Source organism: Homo sapiens, chromosome 5 (genome assembly GCF_000001405.40).
Source record: "Homo sapiens chromosome 5, GRCh38.p14 Primary Assembly".
Lineage (NCBI taxonomy): Eukaryota > Metazoa > Chordata > Mammalia > Primates > Hominidae > Homo > Homo sapiens.
Window position 1 is genome coordinate 151,565,050 of NC_000005.10, and position 17,868 is coordinate 151,582,917.

The 17,868-nt window shown below is 46.3% G+C and overlaps 1 protein-coding gene across 8 annotated transcripts in view, besides 2 other annotated features; it reads right to left on the minus strand.

The window, feature by feature from the left end:
- Positions 1 to 17,868, minus strand: part of FAT2 (FAT atypical cadherin 2) — a 90,728-nt gene that overhangs the window by 60,958 nt on the left and 11,902 nt on the right. For all 8 annotated transcript variants that reach the window (XR_007058588.1, XM_017009225.2, XM_011537600.3 and 5 more), the window contains one exon: positions 624 to 3,902. Coding sequence is in view for 7 of the 8 variants with exons in the window: in XM_017009225.2 (XP_016864714.1) it covers positions 624 to 3,882 (3,259 nt within the window). In the remaining variant the exon portion in view is untranslated. The remainder of the gene's footprint in view (positions 1 to 623; positions 3,903 to 17,868) is intronic.
- Positions 4,334 to 4,423: an enhancer, noted in NCBI's record as "active region_23458". NCBI's record gives its function as "activates an Ori minimal core promoter by ATAC-STARR-seq in GM12878 lymphoblastoid cells {active_cell/tissue: GM12878}" and the evidence as "EXISTENCE:reporter gene assay evidence [ECO:0000049][PMID:35858748]".
- Positions 6,320 to 6,832: an enhancer, noted in NCBI's record as "H3K4me1 hESC enhancer chr5:150950930-150951442 (GRCh37/hg19 assembly coordinates)". NCBI's record gives its function as "activates a minimal SCP1, AML or CMV promoter by ChIP-STARR-seq in primed H9 embryonic stem cells {active_cell/tissue: H9 hESC(primed)}" and the evidence as "EXISTENCE:reporter gene assay evidence [ECO:0000049][PMID:30033119]".

The following is a 17,868-nucleotide window of genomic DNA, read 5'->3' on the forward strand; positions in this document are numbered from 1 at the left end:
GGGTGACAGAGCAAGACTCCATCTCAAAAAAAGAAAAGAATTTTTTTCTGTAGAGACCCAGGCATATAAGTAAAAGTATATAAATAAGAATATTACACCTACATGGTAGAATAATATGTGGCCAATTAAAACAAATGAACTGACAAATAAAATGTCTTGATATTATATGACATGAAAAAAGTAAATTTTAGAATAGTGTCTATTATACTGTATTTTCATAATAATAAAATGAACAATATATGATATATAAGATACAAAGAAAGAAACTTTAGAAGATTATAGACCAAATTGTTAATAAAGATTATATCTGGGGTGATGGAACATGGGGGAGCATTCGTTTTTAAATTTTATATAAAAAATTTATAATCAGATGTATTACTTTTATAAACAGAATATGTAATATATGTGCATATATGTGTATGTGTATATGCACATATATAGACATATATTCCCAGTAAAAACAAATTAAAAATAAAATACACAGGAAAAAGAATCCCTATTTATTGCCTTTCATTTCAGCCTGCAGGCTGACTCCTTTTTCCTTCAGCCCGCAGGCTGACTTCTTTTTCCTTCAGCCCATCTACCTCTGGCCCTGGCACCCCACCCTACCCCACCCCCAGTACCTGTATCTTGGTTGATGCTGAAGGCTGCGAGTCCAGTGCCAGCACGCAGGAAGTACTGGAGCTCCCCATCCAAGCCACTGTCATCGTCCTGGGCAGCCACTACAATCACCTGAGTTCCCGAGGGGCTGTTCTCCTGCACCTGGCCCTGGTGCACGAAGGAGGCAAAGTGGGGAGGGTGGAGATTCTCATTCACATCCAGGACGATCACCTCCACATGGCAGAGAGTCCTGCGGGCTAGGGGCCTCCCACCATCACTGGCCCACAGGCTCAGATTGTACCCAGCTCGCCTCTCAAAGTCCAGCTCTCTCTCCAGAATGAGCGCCCCTGTCATCAGGTCCACCCGGAAGGTCCCATGGGCGCCATCCATCAGAACATATCGCACTTCACCTGCGGGGCCCAGGTCAGGATCAGAGGCATCCAGAAATGTCAAGACAGTCCCGGGGGGCAGGTCCTCTGGAACCTTCAGCCTGTTGTGTTCTGTGATGCACTGGGGAGAGTTGTCGTTGACATCCTCCAATGTGATTATCAGGTCAGTGACAGAGAAGAGCTGGTGGCCTTTGCTGGGCTGATCCCTGGCCTCCACCTTGAGTATGTACCGAGGCTCTGATTCGCGGTCCAGGTGTCCTGTAACAACCAGTTCCCCAGTGAGAGGGTGGAGGGAGAACTTCTCTGTGGGACTTAGCAGGGTGTAGCGAACCCTGCCATTGTCTTCCGAGTCAGCATCTTTGGTTGTCAGCTCTGCAATTGTGGTTCCAACTTCTGTGTCCTCCGAGATGGTTAACTGGTACCCACCGGGAGGAAATCTGGGTGCGTTGTCATTCCAGTCTTTCACATTCACTGTCAGCAGCTTCCAGGAGGACTTCTGGGGTGTGCCCAGGTCATATACTGTTACATTGAGGATGTAGAAATTGGTGGCTTCATAGTCCAAGGGAGCAGCTACAGTGAGCAGCCCTGTCTCCAGCTCTATGTCAAAGCAGCCCTCCTCATTGCCATCTGCAATCACATAGACCAGTTTGCCATTAAAACCAGCATCAGGGTCAGTGGCTGCTAGGCGGGCCAAGGGGGTGTTGATAGGGACACTCTCAAGGACATCAATGGATTGGGGGAAGTGGTCCTCAAACTGTGGGGTGTAATGATTAATCTGATATGTGCTTAAAGAAGTGAATTCCTCATCACTGGACTCCTGGTTCTGAAGCCCAATAAAGTGGAGGATAGTCTTTGTGAATTGTGTCAATACCCCTGTTTTATCACATGTTACAGGAACTTCAAAATGAGGGTCCTTCACCACAGTAATATTCAAAGTTGTGGGTGAGGCATAGTTTTTGCCATCTGAGGCTGTAATCTTCAGGGAATAACTGGTGGGTTGACCAGCAGTAAGATTGATAAAAGGGCGTTTGAGGGATATCACTCCGGAGAAATGATTTAGATCAAAATACTCTAGTTCATTGCCTGATACAATCTCGTATTTTAGGTTCTGAAGCTCATCCACATCTATGGCTGACATAGTCATTATCGATTTCCCTACTGGCCAGTCTTGGCGGATAGACCCTGTACAGTTGACTTCTTCAAACATAGGCTGGTTGTCATTCAAGTTCCTGAGCTGAAGAAAAATGGACACTTCCTTCTCCCGGCGAAAAGGGGATCCCCAGTCTGATGCTCTTACCCGGAAGGTATAAATTCTTTTCATGAGTTCATAGTCCATGGGTTTGGAGGTGGAGATGATCCCCAGGTAGGGGTCAATAGAAAATGGCAAAGCTTTTGGTCCAGCAATGGAATAGGTGACATATCCATTTTCCCCATGATCCCGGTCAGTGGCAGTCACAGCCAAAACACTGGTGCCTGGAGGGATGTTCTCATCCAAGGTACCATCATAGGAAGACCTGTTGAAGAGGGGGGCATGGTTGTTGCAGTCCACAATGTCAATGACCACCACGGTGGAGGCCTGGCCCGGTGAGGTTCTGATGTGTAGCTGATAGTGGGCTCTGTCGTGGAAGTCCATGAGCTTTGTGGTGGTGATCAACCCAGTTCGAGCATTAAGTTTAAATCCTACATTCTCTGAAGATGGCTTTAGAACATACTGCAGGTTGGGGAAGGCTGGGGTGACTCTCACCATCACCACGCGGCTGCCAGGAGGGGAAAACTCACTAAGCTGCACTCTGTAAACAGCCTTCTCGAATTTGAGGGAAGACAGTTTGGAAGGTGGTAGGTGAAAGCCCCTGATCTGGGAATAAAAATAAGGGCCGCTCCCACTCCTGGCCTGGAGGCTGAGGTTGAACCCATGAAGGTACTCCATCCAGTTGATGTCTTTGACAGACACCAAACTGAACTCATTGCTCCGGGCATAAGACTTGATGGCTTTGAAGTGCTTTCCAGGGTCACCACCAACAACTTCCACTGACTCCACTTCAGCTCCTGAGCTATTTGCATCGACCAGTACAGTGGCATAGGTGGTACCATCATTGCTGTCTGGTGGAGTCACCACCACCGAAGCAATGGCTGGGGGCTTCCTGAGGGCAGGCTCCACATGAACCACAAGTGCAGCCAGGCTGCCAAACCCATTGCCCTCAGAGATTTTCCGCATGCGGTCCACAGCTAGCACCTGGAGCTCATGCTTTCCTCGCCAGGTGACGTTAAGCTTCCCAGCCACAGTGACCACACCGCTGGTGGGATGGATGGCAAACATCTCTGACCTTGTGTTAAAGGCATAATAGAACTCAGCATTCTGGCCTAGATCAGCATCTGTGGCAGTCACCTTGCAGATGGGGCTCTTCAGGGGCATGTCCTCAGAGATGGTGACTCTGTACGAAGGTGGAGAGAAGAGAGGCTTCAGGTCATTCTGGTCCAGGATGTGGACCACCACACGGGTCAAAGCTTCCAACTCCAAGGTCTTCTCTGTGGCTTGGATGATGAGGGTGTAGCTGTCTCGCACCTCTCTGTTCAGAAGAGCTGTGTTGCTGCTCTTTGTCCTTATTCTTAGGAAGCAGAAGTTGCCCACCACATACTCCTCAGTTTTAAATACATTGGCCACATCCCCAGAGATGATCCGGTACCTCACTGCCCACTGTGGCTCCGCGAGGTAGATGCCCATTTTCTCGAAGCTCTCCACATAGGTCTTGGGAGAAGAATTTTCATAGATGGTGGCATTGTAATGGGAGTGTGTGAAGTGCCAAGCAGAGGAGGAGAGAATCCCTTCTAGAGGCTTCTCACAGGTCGCACAATGGAGCAAGAATATGGCAAAACCCAGCAGGGCAATAGTCATGGTGGAAAACTCCCGAAACCCTGGGCAGAAAATAAAAGACAGGGTGCAAGTTAGGGGGAAAAAATGGTTTCTACTGCTGTGATTCTTAACTGGAGGTGATTTTGACCCTCAAGGGACACTTGGCAATGTCTGAAGATACTTTTGGCTGACCCAGCTTGGGAGTGGTGGTGCTAATGGCATCTGGCAGGTAGAGGCTGGGGATACTGCTAAACAACCTACAATGCATAGGACAGTGCCTTTGTGTGAGTCAGTTCTCACACTGAGAATAAAGACATACCTGAGACTGGGTAATTTATAAAGGAATGAGGTTTAATGGACTCACCGTTCCACATGACTGGGGAGGCCCCATAATCATGGCAGAAGGCAAAGGAAAAGCAAAGTCATATCTTACTTGGCAGCAGGCAAGAGCGCGTAGGCAGGGGAACTCCCCTTTGTAAAACCATCAGATCTCATGAGACTTATTCACTATCACGAGAACAGCATGAGAAAAACACACCCCCATGATTCAATTACCTCCCACTGGATCCCTCCCATGATACAGGGGGATTATGGGAGCCACAATTCAAGATGAGATTTGGGTGGGAACACAGCCAAACCATATCAGCCCTGCAACAGAATTATCCAGCCCCAATGTCAATAGTGCCATGGTTGAGAAACCCCGTGGCTGAAGAATAGCAGACTAGTTCAAAATGCTCTCTCAAAGACACTCAGCAGCTAGAACACAGTCCTGAACTCTTACTCTTTTTTCCCAAAAACTTTCTGTGACTCCTTGGGCGATGGTGAGATAGTCCCAACTCTTAGCCAGGAACCAAGTTTAGCTATCTGGTTCTAAACTACTATTCTCTCTCCTTCCTACAAGGCCTTTCCACTGGGGCTGAGCTCTAGCCAAACTGAGCTGTTTCCGCACATGCAGAGGCTGCAGGAAAGCAAAGTGACCAAGATCCCAGGCGTGGCATCAGGCTGCCTGGCTGTCAGCCCTGCCTCTGTCATTTGCTAGGTAGGTGACTTTTAGAGCAAGTTATTTAACCTCATGAGCCTTCATTTCACCTTCTGTAGAATAAGGATAAGAAAATCATCAATCTCTTAGGATTGTTGTGAAAATTCAGTGAAATAATAAAGGTAAATGACTTATCAGAGTGCCTAGTTTATTGTCAGTTCTAATTTAATGTCAGCCATTATTGATAATAGGAAACTAAGGTTCATAAAAGGAAGGGAGCTGCCCAGGGCCTTATAGCTAGTGGGAGCTCCTTGCACAGACCAGGGTTGCCTCCTTGCCCCAGTCCTATTTATACCTGTTTCACCACATGTCCCTTATAGACAGGGCATGACTCTGACTCATCATGTAACCTGGAACATGAAAACTCCCAGGCTCCTGGAATGTCTGAGTTGAAATGGACATTAGAGATGATGGGCTTCTGTCCCTGCTTTTCATCATAGATGAGTATAGATGGGGAAATAGAGCCCCAGAGTCGAGATCAGTCAAGCTCCAAGTCACACAGTGTGTGGCCGGGTAAGAACTAGTCCCTGGGAGTTAGTTCTTGTTGAACTGATCATGAATAAATGCTTCGCCTCTCTTAGACCCTTGCTGTTTCCCACAGAGCCCATCCCCGAACTCCAGCCTGGGTGAAAATGTGAGACTCACCAGGGCCAAGGATGGGGCAAGGGGCAGGAGGAGCGGGGCAGGGTTTGGCAGGGCCATGTGTAGGTCTGGTGCACCAGGCTGATGCCTGGCTTGCCCCTGGGAGCCTTGATTCCTAGGAGCTTCATGGCTGCCAGCCAGATGCGCTGGAGCATTCTTGGATGAAACTGGCCAGACCTGATTTTCCAGTTGCCTTGCTCTTCAAAGCCAAGGAAGAGTTAAACTTCCAAGGCAAAGGGGGAAGGAGAGGCTTGGAGCCCCGTCTTGCCAGAGTCCTGTGTGAACTGGGCACAGGGTTCCCCAAGATCATGCTGACAGCATTCCGAGATAAGAGGCAGGAATAGAAAAGTCTGCCTAAATCGGGGTCTGAAGGCCTGTGACAGAAAATAATTTCAATATGTCCCACCCTTCGAGCTTCCCTACCACCCGCCTCCCAACTCCTGAGATTCTGTTGGTGGTGCCCTAAGCTTAGGCACCTCAGAAAAGAGAGGGCAGGAAGGTGGCAGATTCTTCATTCGAGGTCTGAAAGTTAGTGGCAGAAAGAGCTGCTGTACGTTTCCCGCCCTGCCTGCCCACTACTGTCCTTCCATGCTTAGAGCTGCAGCCCATAGTGGGGCCAGCCCCAGGCAAAAGCCACACTCACCCTACCCCTGACCCAGCCCCCACAAGCAGAAGGGGACGCCTGAGTCATTCAGCCCCCAACCCATGCAGGATGGCATTGCTTTTGAAGTTGAAACCCCAAGGGAAAGTGAGTCCTCACCCCAGTCCCAGGTCCACTGGCTCCACAGCTCTGTGAGCCCAGGGTGCACGCAGCCTCCCAGCCCTGCCTGCCCTGCTGTGTGGAGAGCTTCCTGTTCACCAGGTCAGCACCCGTGTTGGGCAGGCCCCAGCAAGATACTCTGCTCGATGGCTGCACCGGTGCCTTGCAATGCAGGCGCCGTTAAGATGAGCTGTAGGGAAGGGGAAGGGGAGGGATCTCCCTGGAGGAGGATAAAATGCAGAGAGAATGCACCCTTGGATGGTGGCTTGGTGCCCATGACCTGCCCAGGCTGTAGGACCTGCACACCTGGGGAGTAGTTTGCTGAGGGAGGGAACAGTGTCTGCACAGCTGTTTCCTGGCCCCAGGTTTAGATGAGTGAACAAGCTTGCAGGGCGCAGAAGCATGTTAGGCTCCTTGTACTACCTTCCTAGTTCACAACACCCAGGGACCACTATTTTAAAACATCTTGTGTAAACGTACATCAATTCATATGACTTCCCTGCTTAACACTTTCCAGTGGCTTCCCATAGCACTTAGATTAAAATAGAAACTCCTTGCCCTGGCCTAGAAGGCTCTGCACCTCCTGGGCCCATGCTACTTCTCCAGTTCACAAGCTGCAGCCACACAAAACCCAGACCTGCCTCGGGGCCTTTGCACTTACTGCTTCCCTTAAGATTCTCACATGAATAATTCCTTCTTGTCATTCAGTTTTCAGCTTAAATGTCACCTCCTGAGCTCCTGTTTGGAGTAGACTTCCTGTCAATTCCCCTCTTTATCACTTTGCCCTATTTTCTTCATGACATATATCACTACCCAATATTTTCTTGTTTATTTGTTTAATGACTGTCTTCTTGGACTCCATGAAGAGAGGAGCTCTGTGTATCTTATTCACAGATGAATTCCCTAGTGCCTAGAACAGTGCCTGGTATAGAACCAGGCTCAATCAATACTAGTTGAGAAATGGAAGAATCTAGACTTAGGAAACACAATGACAGAATGAACGCTGAAAGAGCCTTTCATGATCATTCCTTCCTTTTGGAAGCTGGAAAATAAAGTCCCAAAGAAAGAAAGAGACTTGCCCAAAGTCACAGGGTGAGAATTAGAGCCAGGTTCTTTCCTCCTGACTGTGCTTCTGGAAAGAGCTGTGGTCACTTATGAATCTGACTGTTTGATTTCAAATCACAGCTCTACCACTTGCTACCTGTTCAACCTTAGAAAGTTACTCAATATTCCTGAACCTCAGCTTTTTCATCTGTGAGAGAGGGCTCTTAAGAGTACTGCATTCATATTCATAGGGTTTTATGGAGACTACATAAGATCGTGCACGTTAATGTACTCAGCACAGTGCCTGGTATGTAGACAAAACTCAAGACATATTCGTTATTAGATTTTAATGCCAAGGCAGAATCAAAGCCTGGGCTGGGTTGAGGGTGGGGTCCGCTGAAGCCTCTGGAGAAGGTCCAGCCTGTGCCCCAACACAGCAGGAAGCCACTGGTCTCTGGTCGAGTCTAAGCTTGCTGGCCTAGCCACAGACTGTTCCGGGAAGCTGCGAGCAGGCACTTGTCTGGGGTGGGGCCTCATGCTCCTTGGCTCCTCAGGCCCAGAAAGAGACCTGCATCTGAGTGAATGTGCACATTTACAAGAGGGCACACATGCATACTCAGTAGTCAATTTTTTGAATAATTGTGTGGGTACATTAGTTCTGTGTCTACCTGGCCATGAATGGACCCTTTTAGGATATATGTATGAACCAACTCTGCCTCCATGTAACTCCCAGCCCCATTTCAAAGATGTGGAAGGCAGGAGAAGGTGGCTAACAACACACAGGCTCTGGCTGTGTGACCTTGGGCAAATGGCTTGCCTTCTCTGATCCTTAGTTTCCCTACTTCTGCAGGTCGTTTCAAGAATGAAAGTTAGTTAATGCACATAAGTGCCGAGCACAATACGTGATATAGTTTTCAACAAATATTACCTAGTAATACAACTGTTTAGTACCTGGCTTATACTATTAACTGTTGAGTTTGTGGATAATAAAAACTTTCAGGCCAGGCGCAGTGGCTCATGCCTGTGATCTCAGGACTTTGGGAGGCCAAGCGGGGCAGATCACAAGGTCGGGAGATGAAGACCATCCTGGCCAACATGGTGAAACTCCGTCTCTACTAAAAATACAAAAATTAGCTGGGCGCAGTGGCATGTGCCTATAATCCTAGCTACTCGGGAGGCTGAGGCAGGAGAATCGCTTGAACCAGGGAGTTGGAGGTTGCAGTGAGCCGAGATCGCGCCACTGCACTCCAGCCTGGCAACAGAGCAGGACTCCATCTCAAAATAAAACAAAACAAAAAAGACTTTCAGACAAATTATTCCGTCATCCCTGATCTATGCTTGTGCAGGCTAATTTTCTGCAACTTAGTGCTGTAGGGCTTTATAGAGGCTGTGATTCAGTTCACCCTGTGTTTCAGCTCTCTACTCCAGCTTCTCAGGATCTTGATTCCGACATTCAGAAACCTGATAGTTGTAACATTCATGTCTTTGTCCAACTCATTGATAAAAGTTTGAACGTGGAGGGCTCCTCATCACTGGGGGAATCCAAGCAGAATCTGGGTGGCCACCTGAGGAGCATATTCTACTGTAGGAGGATATTTGTCCTTGGGGGAGATAAGAAGCATTCTGAAGTCCCTTCCAACTCATACGGGCATGGTTCTTTGGCCTGTGCATGCCTATGGTCTCTATCAGACCCTAAACGAGCCCCCCAATGGCAGCGAAGGGATTTCCTCTCTGTGGATCAGGGTTATACACCTGCCAATGCTTGTTTGAGAGTCAGTGTAATAAGCTGATCCCTGACCTGGGTTCTGGGAGGCTGAGACCTAAAGTCACTCATTCTCTGTCTGTTCTTGGTCAAGTAAGTCACCTAAGCCCCGTGGACCTTTTTTCTCATCTGTAAATAATGTGTGTGCATATAGAGGGAAGGACTGTAATGGATGGGTGATTCCAAACCCCTCTAATTGTCCCACCCCTCTGCCCCAGGTGTTCAGTGCTAAGACTGGCTCTTGTGGCTCTCAAGAAAGAATCCTAAACATATTCTGTTTATGAAAAACCTTAAAGAGGTGAGATAAATAAATTAAGAGGGACTGTGCTTTGAACCAGAATAAAAATTGTAAATGAAAGAATGGTGACATTCTAGGTATCTGCTAGTCAAGTCTTAGCCACTGAAATAATTTCTCTTCTTAGTAGTAGGGAGTGATTGATGGTTTTTGAGAAGAAGCAGAACCAGGACAGGGCTACATCATTGGGATGAGTAATCTAACATTAGACCAAAAAAGGGATTTTCGCATTCAAGTCTCCCACTCTGGTGTGGATAGGGCTTGAACACCAGCTCTATTGGTTTAAGACAACTGGAATTCACTGAGGGTAGAGAGACTTAATCTACTTCCAAGAAACTTGGATGAACATGTGAGTCATTTGTTAGTTTGTAGGCAGCCACTGTCAGATTCTCATATAACAAAACAACTGGATGTGGCCAGGAGAGGAGCCAGTGGCTTGAGCCATTGATGGGTCCTGTGACTTGAGAATGCCACACAATCTCTCCTGGGCCTCAACTTGCCTGTCTGTAAAATGGAGATAATAATAGCTACTCCTACCTACTTCCCAGGACTGCAGGGAAAACAGATAATTTGACAGGTGAAAGCACAGGGAGGAAAGATGCAGAGTAACACCTTATTAGAACCAATAATGGCTCAGTAAATGGCAGTCTGAAGTGTCAGCTGGCAGAGAGGCCATCTTAGGGGATTTGACTGTAAAAGTCAGGCCTGTCCTAGTCTGGAGTTAGAAATGACTAAAAAGGAAATCCTTATCTAGGACATGGATGAAAGAGAGCTGGGACATGAGGTCCCATTATTTATTAGTATTCTTTTTATTATTGATGACAAAAATTATTCTGTCTTACATCTGTATGATAATCTATACATTTTCAAATAAGCATTTGCATGTGTTATCTCACTTGGTCTTTGGGTAGAGTATGCAGTACTGGACAGAATTAAAAGTTAAGAAAGCGGGCTCTGGAATCAGACAGACCTAGTTTCAAATGCCAGCTCTCAGTTTATCAACTGTGTGGCCATGGGTAGTTATTTAACCTTGCTGATTTCAGCCAAAGGGAGAAGATAATGGTACTCACCTCCTGGAGTTGTTGAGAAGGCTGAATGAGGTAAAGTACGGCAAATACCTAGCACTGGAACACACTCAGTACCAGTTAGTGATGTACCATCATCATCTGTCCTATGACATTCATTACTCTGAATCTGTAACTGTGAAATTGAGGCTTGGATAATTTGAAGACTGTGCCCAGGTTCACTCGTCTAGTAGGTGATGGATGCAAGCACCAGCACAGAATAAGGATCCATATTCTAGGAAGAGAGACATCCCAGAGGCCTGGAGTAGCTGGAGTTCACTCTAGAGCTGCGCTTTCCAGCAGAACTTTCTGCAGTGATGAAGTGTTCTGTCTCTGTGCTGTCCAGGGTGGGAGCCATGAGCCATGCATGGCTGGCTATTGAGCACTTGAAATGCGGCTAGTACAATTGAGGAGTTGAGTTTTTCATTTTATCTTATTTTAATTCATTTAAATTTTAAAAGACACATGTGACTTGTGTCTACCACATCGGACAGCCCAGCTCTAAAGAGCACGGCATAGGAACCACAGGATTCATGAGATTCAGAGAAGAATGCTGGGTCCACTCATCTGTAAGGCAGAGTGGGCACACCCAGGACCCAGGACTACACATACTATTAAAGCAGAATGAAAAGGGAGAATCTCTTAAGAAAAATTGAGATCTTAATATGTGGGCTAGAAAGATATGGAAGGGAAAAAGCTAAAATTCACGTATACTTAGCAGTATGGTATAGGAACAAGGGGGTATTTTTAAAATGGTTAGCTTTTGGAATGAATATGTCCTCAAATTATGTCTTAGAGAAGGAAGGGAATGATCTGAGGGAGCAAACTGGGATATATTATCTGGAACAGTGGCCTCAACTATTCGTGCATATTAGAATTACCAGGAGAACATTTAAAAACAGCTTTTCACTCACCCCTAGTTTAAATCAATTAAGTTATACTATAGGTTTTTGGGTTTTTAAACATCTTTTCAGGAATGAGGACTACTGTAGAAAGTTACTATGGTCAATAAATTATTGAGAATTTCCTTTTAAATTTGAAAATTGAATCAATAATAAATGTTTTAGTTTATTTTAAATACGAAAGAAAGAAAAACTTTTAGGTTGAAGAGTTTGGATATATATAATAACACAGGTATGTCTCACTTAACGATGGGAATACATTCTGAGAAATGTGTCATTATTTGAACCAGAATGAAAACTGTAAGTGAAAGAATGGTGACATTCTAGGTACCTGCTAGTCAAGTCTTAGCCACTGAAATAATTTCTCTCCTTAGTAGTAGGGAGTCATTCATGGTTTTTGAGAAGTTTGCACAAGTTTGTTATTGTGCAAACATCATGGAGTGCACTTACACAAACCTAGGTGGTGACGCTTACTACACACCTAGGCTATGTGGTACAGCCTATTGCTCCTAGGATACAAACCTGTACGGTATCCTACTCTACTGAATACTGTAGGTGATTGTAACACAATGGTAAGTATTTGTGTATCTAAACATAGAAAAGGTACAGTAAAAGTATGGTATTATAATTTTATGAGACCACTCTCATATATGCAGTCCCACACTGACCAAAATGTCATGATGTGCTACATGACTGTATACGCATCTTTATACCAATGCCGTCATAGAACATAATTTTTAATTTATGACTTCATAATTATCACTTATAATTGTTTCATGGAAGAAGGGGCCCACAAAGACTAGAATGCTTAGAGCCCTCAAAAGTCATAGTATGACCCTGGAGAAATGAATATTTGAAGGAAGAAAAGGGCTTCCAGTGGCCTGGGCTTTGGGGAAGAAAAGGAACAAAGTTGGGGATGTGAAGAAAGTGTTTTATTATTGAGCTTCCTCTGCCAAAGGCATTCATTCATTTAATACTCACTGAGGGCCTGCCCTGTGCCAGGCATCTAGAGCAGAGAACAAGAGAGATGAGGTTTCTGCTCTTGTGGGTACTGTATTCTAGTAGCAGAGAGAGACAATAAACAAGAAAATATTGACTGTGTCAGGTGATGAAAAGCGATATAAAGAAACGTTATGTGGGGCAAGGGGTAGAGCATGGAGGGGAGATGCTATTTTTTAAAGGGGAGTCAGGGAAGTCCTATATGACAAGGTGACATTTGGGCAGGGAGGTGAACAGAGTGAGGAAGAGAGCCAGAGAGCTATCTTCAGGAAGAGAGTTCCAGACAGAACAGGCAACGCAAAGGCCCTGAGATGGGCAGCAAGGAAACGCTGCTGTGGGTTTTCAAGTTTGCAGATCCTGATACGCAATGAGGCCCAAAGAGAGGAAGAGGCGTGTCTGGGGTCTCTTCCTCTTAGGGTTGTCTGTACGGATCTATGAGCTTTGCATTTGCAGCTGAAAAATCCCTAAGCCAGAGGGAACCTCAGAACTGGAGGGCCTGGGGTGGCAGGGAGGGAAGGGAGGAATCCTGAGGGGTCAACAACTCTAGCCCCACTTCTTCTGGGGCTCTCTGGTAGGAGGAGTTTGTTAGATGAAAACCATTAAAATCCATGAAAAGGGAAAGGCAAAAAAAAAAAAAAAGATCAAAGCCAACTCCAGCTTAGCAGAATACTGCCTGGTATTTATTCATTAGAAGCTCTAAACGCAGAACAGGGGAACGGGGGAACCTCCCCTAGGTTCTAGGTGAGGAAGGTTGTGCCCTGATAGACTCTCCAGGAGGACTAGAAAGCTTCTTTCAGATGGAGAAGAGAACAAAATGCAAAGGCCAGAATGTCCCTGCTGAATGGGCCTCGTTTTGTGGGGTTGCTTACTATCCTGTGGTTCTTGCCACTTCGATCCAATGGAATCCTTTGCAAAAGGATGAGTTTTCAAACACAGACCTCAAGTCCCAACTGGGGCAACCTTGAATAACTTGATCTCTGAGCCTATGTTTTTCTTCACCTTTGAAAGGGAGATACTTAAAGCCACAATTAGATTATGTTGGGATGACTATTATCAAAAAGACAAGAGATAACAGCTGTTGAAGAGGATGTGGAGAAAAGGGAACCATCAGACACTGTCAGTGGAAATGCAAATTAGTACAGCCATTACGGAAAACAGTATGGTGGTTCCCCAAAAAATAAAAAAAAGAACTACCATATGCTCCAGCAATCCCACCACTGGGTATATATCCAAACGAAATGAAATCAGTATGTCAAAGAGATACCTGCACGCCCATCTTTACTGCATTATTCACAATAGCCAAGATATGGAATTACCGTAAATGTCCATCAGTAGATGAATGAATAAAGAAAATATGGCCTATATACACAAGAGAATGTCATTCAGCCTTAAAAGGTGGGTAAATTTTGTCAGTTGTGACAGCGCATATGAACCCGGAGGGCATTATGTTAAGGGAAATAAACCAAGTACATAAGGGCAAATACTGCAAATACTTTTTTAGAATCCACATATACTCACTCTGTGTGAACTCTAAAAAGGTTAAACTCATAGAAACAGTGAATAGAATGATGGTTACCAGTGGCTGGGGTGAGGGTGGGGATTGGGAAGATGGTCAAAGAATATAAAATTTCCATTTGGAGTTGAAAAATTCTTAAGCCAGAGGGAACACCAGGAACACAGGGCTTGGGGTAGGAGGGAGGCAAAATAGGAATTCTGAGGGATCAACAAATCCAGCCCCAATTCTGGGGCTCTCTGGTTGGAAGGCAAGTAAGTTCAAGAGATCTATTGTACAACATGGTAACTATAATTAATAAAGGCATTGTATATTGTACTTGAAAATTGCTAAGAGAATACATTTGAAATTTTGTCATCACAAAAAAATAAGCATGTAGGGGCCAGGCATGGTGGCTCATGCCTGTAATACCAGAGCTTTGGGAGGCCAAGGCAGGAGGATTGCTTGAAGCCAGAAGTTTGAGACCAGCTTAGGCAACATATCGAGATCCCATCTCTACAAAACATTTAAAAATTAGCCAGGTGTGGTGATTTGCATCTGTAATCCTAGCTACTCAGGAGGCTGAGGTGGGAGGATTGCTTGAGCCCAGGAGTTTGAGGCTGCAGTGAACAATGATCACACCACTGCACTCCAGCCTGGGTTACAGAGCAAGACCCTATCTCTAAAAATAAATAAATAAATAATTTTAAAAAGGCATATGAGTTAATGGATGTGTTAAATGGCTTGATTTAGCCATTCCACTATGCATACATTATCAATACATTATGTTGCACACCATAAATATATACAAATTTTGTCAATTTAAAATATAAATAAGGAAATACATTTAAAAAAAAAAAGAGAGAGAAAGATACTAACTGAACCCACCTCAGATAGTGTTCTGAAGGTAGAACTAGATGGTGCCTGTTAAACATTCAGCACATGCATGGCACCTAGTAGTTGCTAAATAAATGCTAGCTGTTGTTATTTTATAACTATCATTCTTCTTATGTTAAGCAGATTGAAATAGACCTGCTATAATAGATGTGAGAGGAGCCCCAGAGCCCCATTCCCTATGCATTGTCCCTTTGTCAGTGAAATCCCTGGACTCCCTAGGGCACAGTTTGAAGACTACTATGAGTCCAAGCTCTGTTTAATAAAGATGAGAAAACTATTCCCAGAAAAAGGAAGGGGTCACTTTAAGTTGCATAGCATGTTGGTGGCAGAATTGGAACCAGAACCCTGGCTCCCCATCCTGGCATTTTGGCACTGGCCATGCTGTTCCCCCAACCCCAGCTCCACTGTCAACCTGGGGGCTCCTCAGGAACCCACAAGGCCAAGGTCTTCTGCATTAGTCAAGAGGAGAGTGCAGGGAGAAAGAACTGGTTTCAGAGTGAGACCTGCCCTCAGTACTGCCTCCACTTGCATTGAGGGGCAAAGCTGAGCCTATCTAAGCCTCAGTTTCCCCATTTGTGAAATGGGGCTGGTAACACTTACCTTCCTGGAGGATTTAATGAACACATGCATGTATGACATTTGGCACAGCGCCAGTCAGGCAGAAGGTCGCTAATGGGTGGTTGTTATTACCATTGCAGTAGGTGCTCAAAAAATATGTGTAGAATGTAGGAATTATTTTCTGTACATGTGCGGACTCTCATTCGGGCCCCAGGAGCCCCTTGTGGGAGGGTCCCTTAACACACACGCGTGCTCGCACACACACACACGGGTCTTTGTGACGTTCCTTCTCTCTTTGCAGTGATTTGCAGCAAAGCTCAAGCAGCAAGTTGAGCAGCATTAAAATAATAACAGATGTGATCTTCTTCAGAGTTGAAGAGGGGGCAGAGGGTGGGTGTGAAGTGGTCAGAAGAGTATTGACAGTGAAAACACCAGGTAGAAAATGTCCTGCACATTCTATAAAAACATACATCTCCCGATCTTTTATGTTCTGCCACTGACATGTTGGGGTGACCACTCTGGGCCCCTTCCCTGTCTCTATCCAAGACACAATAAATGGCCTTCCAAGGATCCAGCAGGCCCTGTGGCCAACAGCAAAAGGAATACTGTTCCTCTTAACTGCTGAAACAGAAGCTTCTCCTTGTTCCCTTCCGTGAGCCCATCAGTCTCACGTGGCCACTCCCAACCAGGTTCTGCCTGTAACTCAGGCACCTCCAGGAGGTGGAGTCGCTACAGTCAGGCCACACACTCAGGTTCTGGAGAGGGGCTACCTGTGTTGGAGTCCTGCCCCGGGCCCACTGCTGGTTGTGTGTGATTTTGAGCAAATCATGGGACCTGACAGAGGCTCGGTCTCTTCAGACATAAACGAGGAAACATAATCATCAGGGTATTATGAGGATCAGAACTGAGATGAAGGGCATAAAGCGGTGGGCACAGTGCCTTGCATGTGAGCCCCCTTGAGGTAGCTGCTGTGATGAAGATGACAATCCAGGGACCTCAGCCCCTACTCCTTTGGTATTATATCGGAGGGCCAAGCAGGGGGCCCAGGGAGAGAGCCCTGAGCAAATTCCCTCATTTCATGGAGACTAGTCCCTGCTTTCCTACCTCCCTGAGCTAACCCTCTGCTGAGCTATCGCTAGAGGCCCTGAAGATGGTGAGGTTTGGAACTACGGAGTGCTTGCAGAGGCGCATGCAGCTGCTCACAGCTGACATTTATTGAACATTTATTGGGTGCCAGGCCCTGTGGTGAGCACTTGGCAGGCATTATCTCTTTTAAGCTAGCTTACAGCAACCTTATAATTATCCTCATTTTGTAGATGAGATAACTGAGACTCAGAGAGGTTATTTAACTCCTGAGATCACACAGCTAGTATGGGCCAAGCCAGGATAAAACTCAGATCACCTGTGTGTCCAACAGTCCCCCTGGCCCGCTCCCCATGCCCATGGGTTAGAAAGAGCAATTGTGAAGGGGGAGGATCATATGATCCCTCCCCCATATCAGGGATCACATAACCTCAGATCCTCTCCTGCCAGCAAACACAGATTCTCAGCATAGGTTTCATTTCCAGTCTTCCCTCTCATTCCCATTTCCTCTAGCCTGGCCCAGCCCAGCCCAGCCCAGCCATCTGTCTGTCCTCTCCCCTCTGAGTAGAACAGCTTAGGACAAAGCCAGGCAGGCAGGCAGGTTGCTGCAGGTGGGAGCTGCGCTCTGGCAGTGGGGCAAGACAGGCTTTCTGCTGTCTGAGGCACCCAGTCCTGCTGCTGAGCTGGCTGAACCTGACTGCAGAGCCAAGGCACGAGAGAGGTCAGAGATGATTTGGGAGCACCCTGAGTAACCCAAGGTGCATACTAATGAGATGCAAATGAGCCTCTGCCGGTGGGCTGCAGGCCAAGTCCCTGTGTTCAACATTCAAGCCCCCCTGGGTTCTGTCCACACACACCGACTTTTCTTAGCCAAGGTAACTGCTCCACCCAGCCATCAGCAGACACAAAACTCAACAGAGTGGCTGGGTCTGTCTGTGTTCTCATCCGCAAAGCTGGCCGGTGGATTGAACTGGTGATTCCCACCATTAGGAATTCCCTGAGGGGATGGGGGTGAGGGTTAAAAATATATATATTCCCAGCCCTACCCCAGAGCTACTGAATCAAAATCCTTAGGGGTGGGGCTCAGAAATAGATGTTCAACAAGTTCCCTGGGTGATTTTGGTGTGACTGGTGTTTGAGATCTGCTGAACAAGGGAACCATCTCTTTCTTTAGGATCATACTCTCTACCATGCCCCCTTTCAAAGTTGATATCCCAAATGTGGCCTGATCCTACGCCCTGATGGAGAGGGGATGGAGGACATCAGGAAAAGACTGCAGTCTTTAGAAAGTGTTCAGGCTAGAGAAGTGATTCTCAAACGTCACTGTGTTAAAAATCGCAACCTCTTCCTCAAAAAGCCTGTTTCAGGAGGACTGCTGTGGAACTCAAAGTGGGACTCATATTTCCTCTGTAGGTGGTCTGCTGACTGTTGGTGGGGGGAACACTGGCCCTCAAGCAAAGTGGACACAACATTACTGCTAAAGTCAAACAG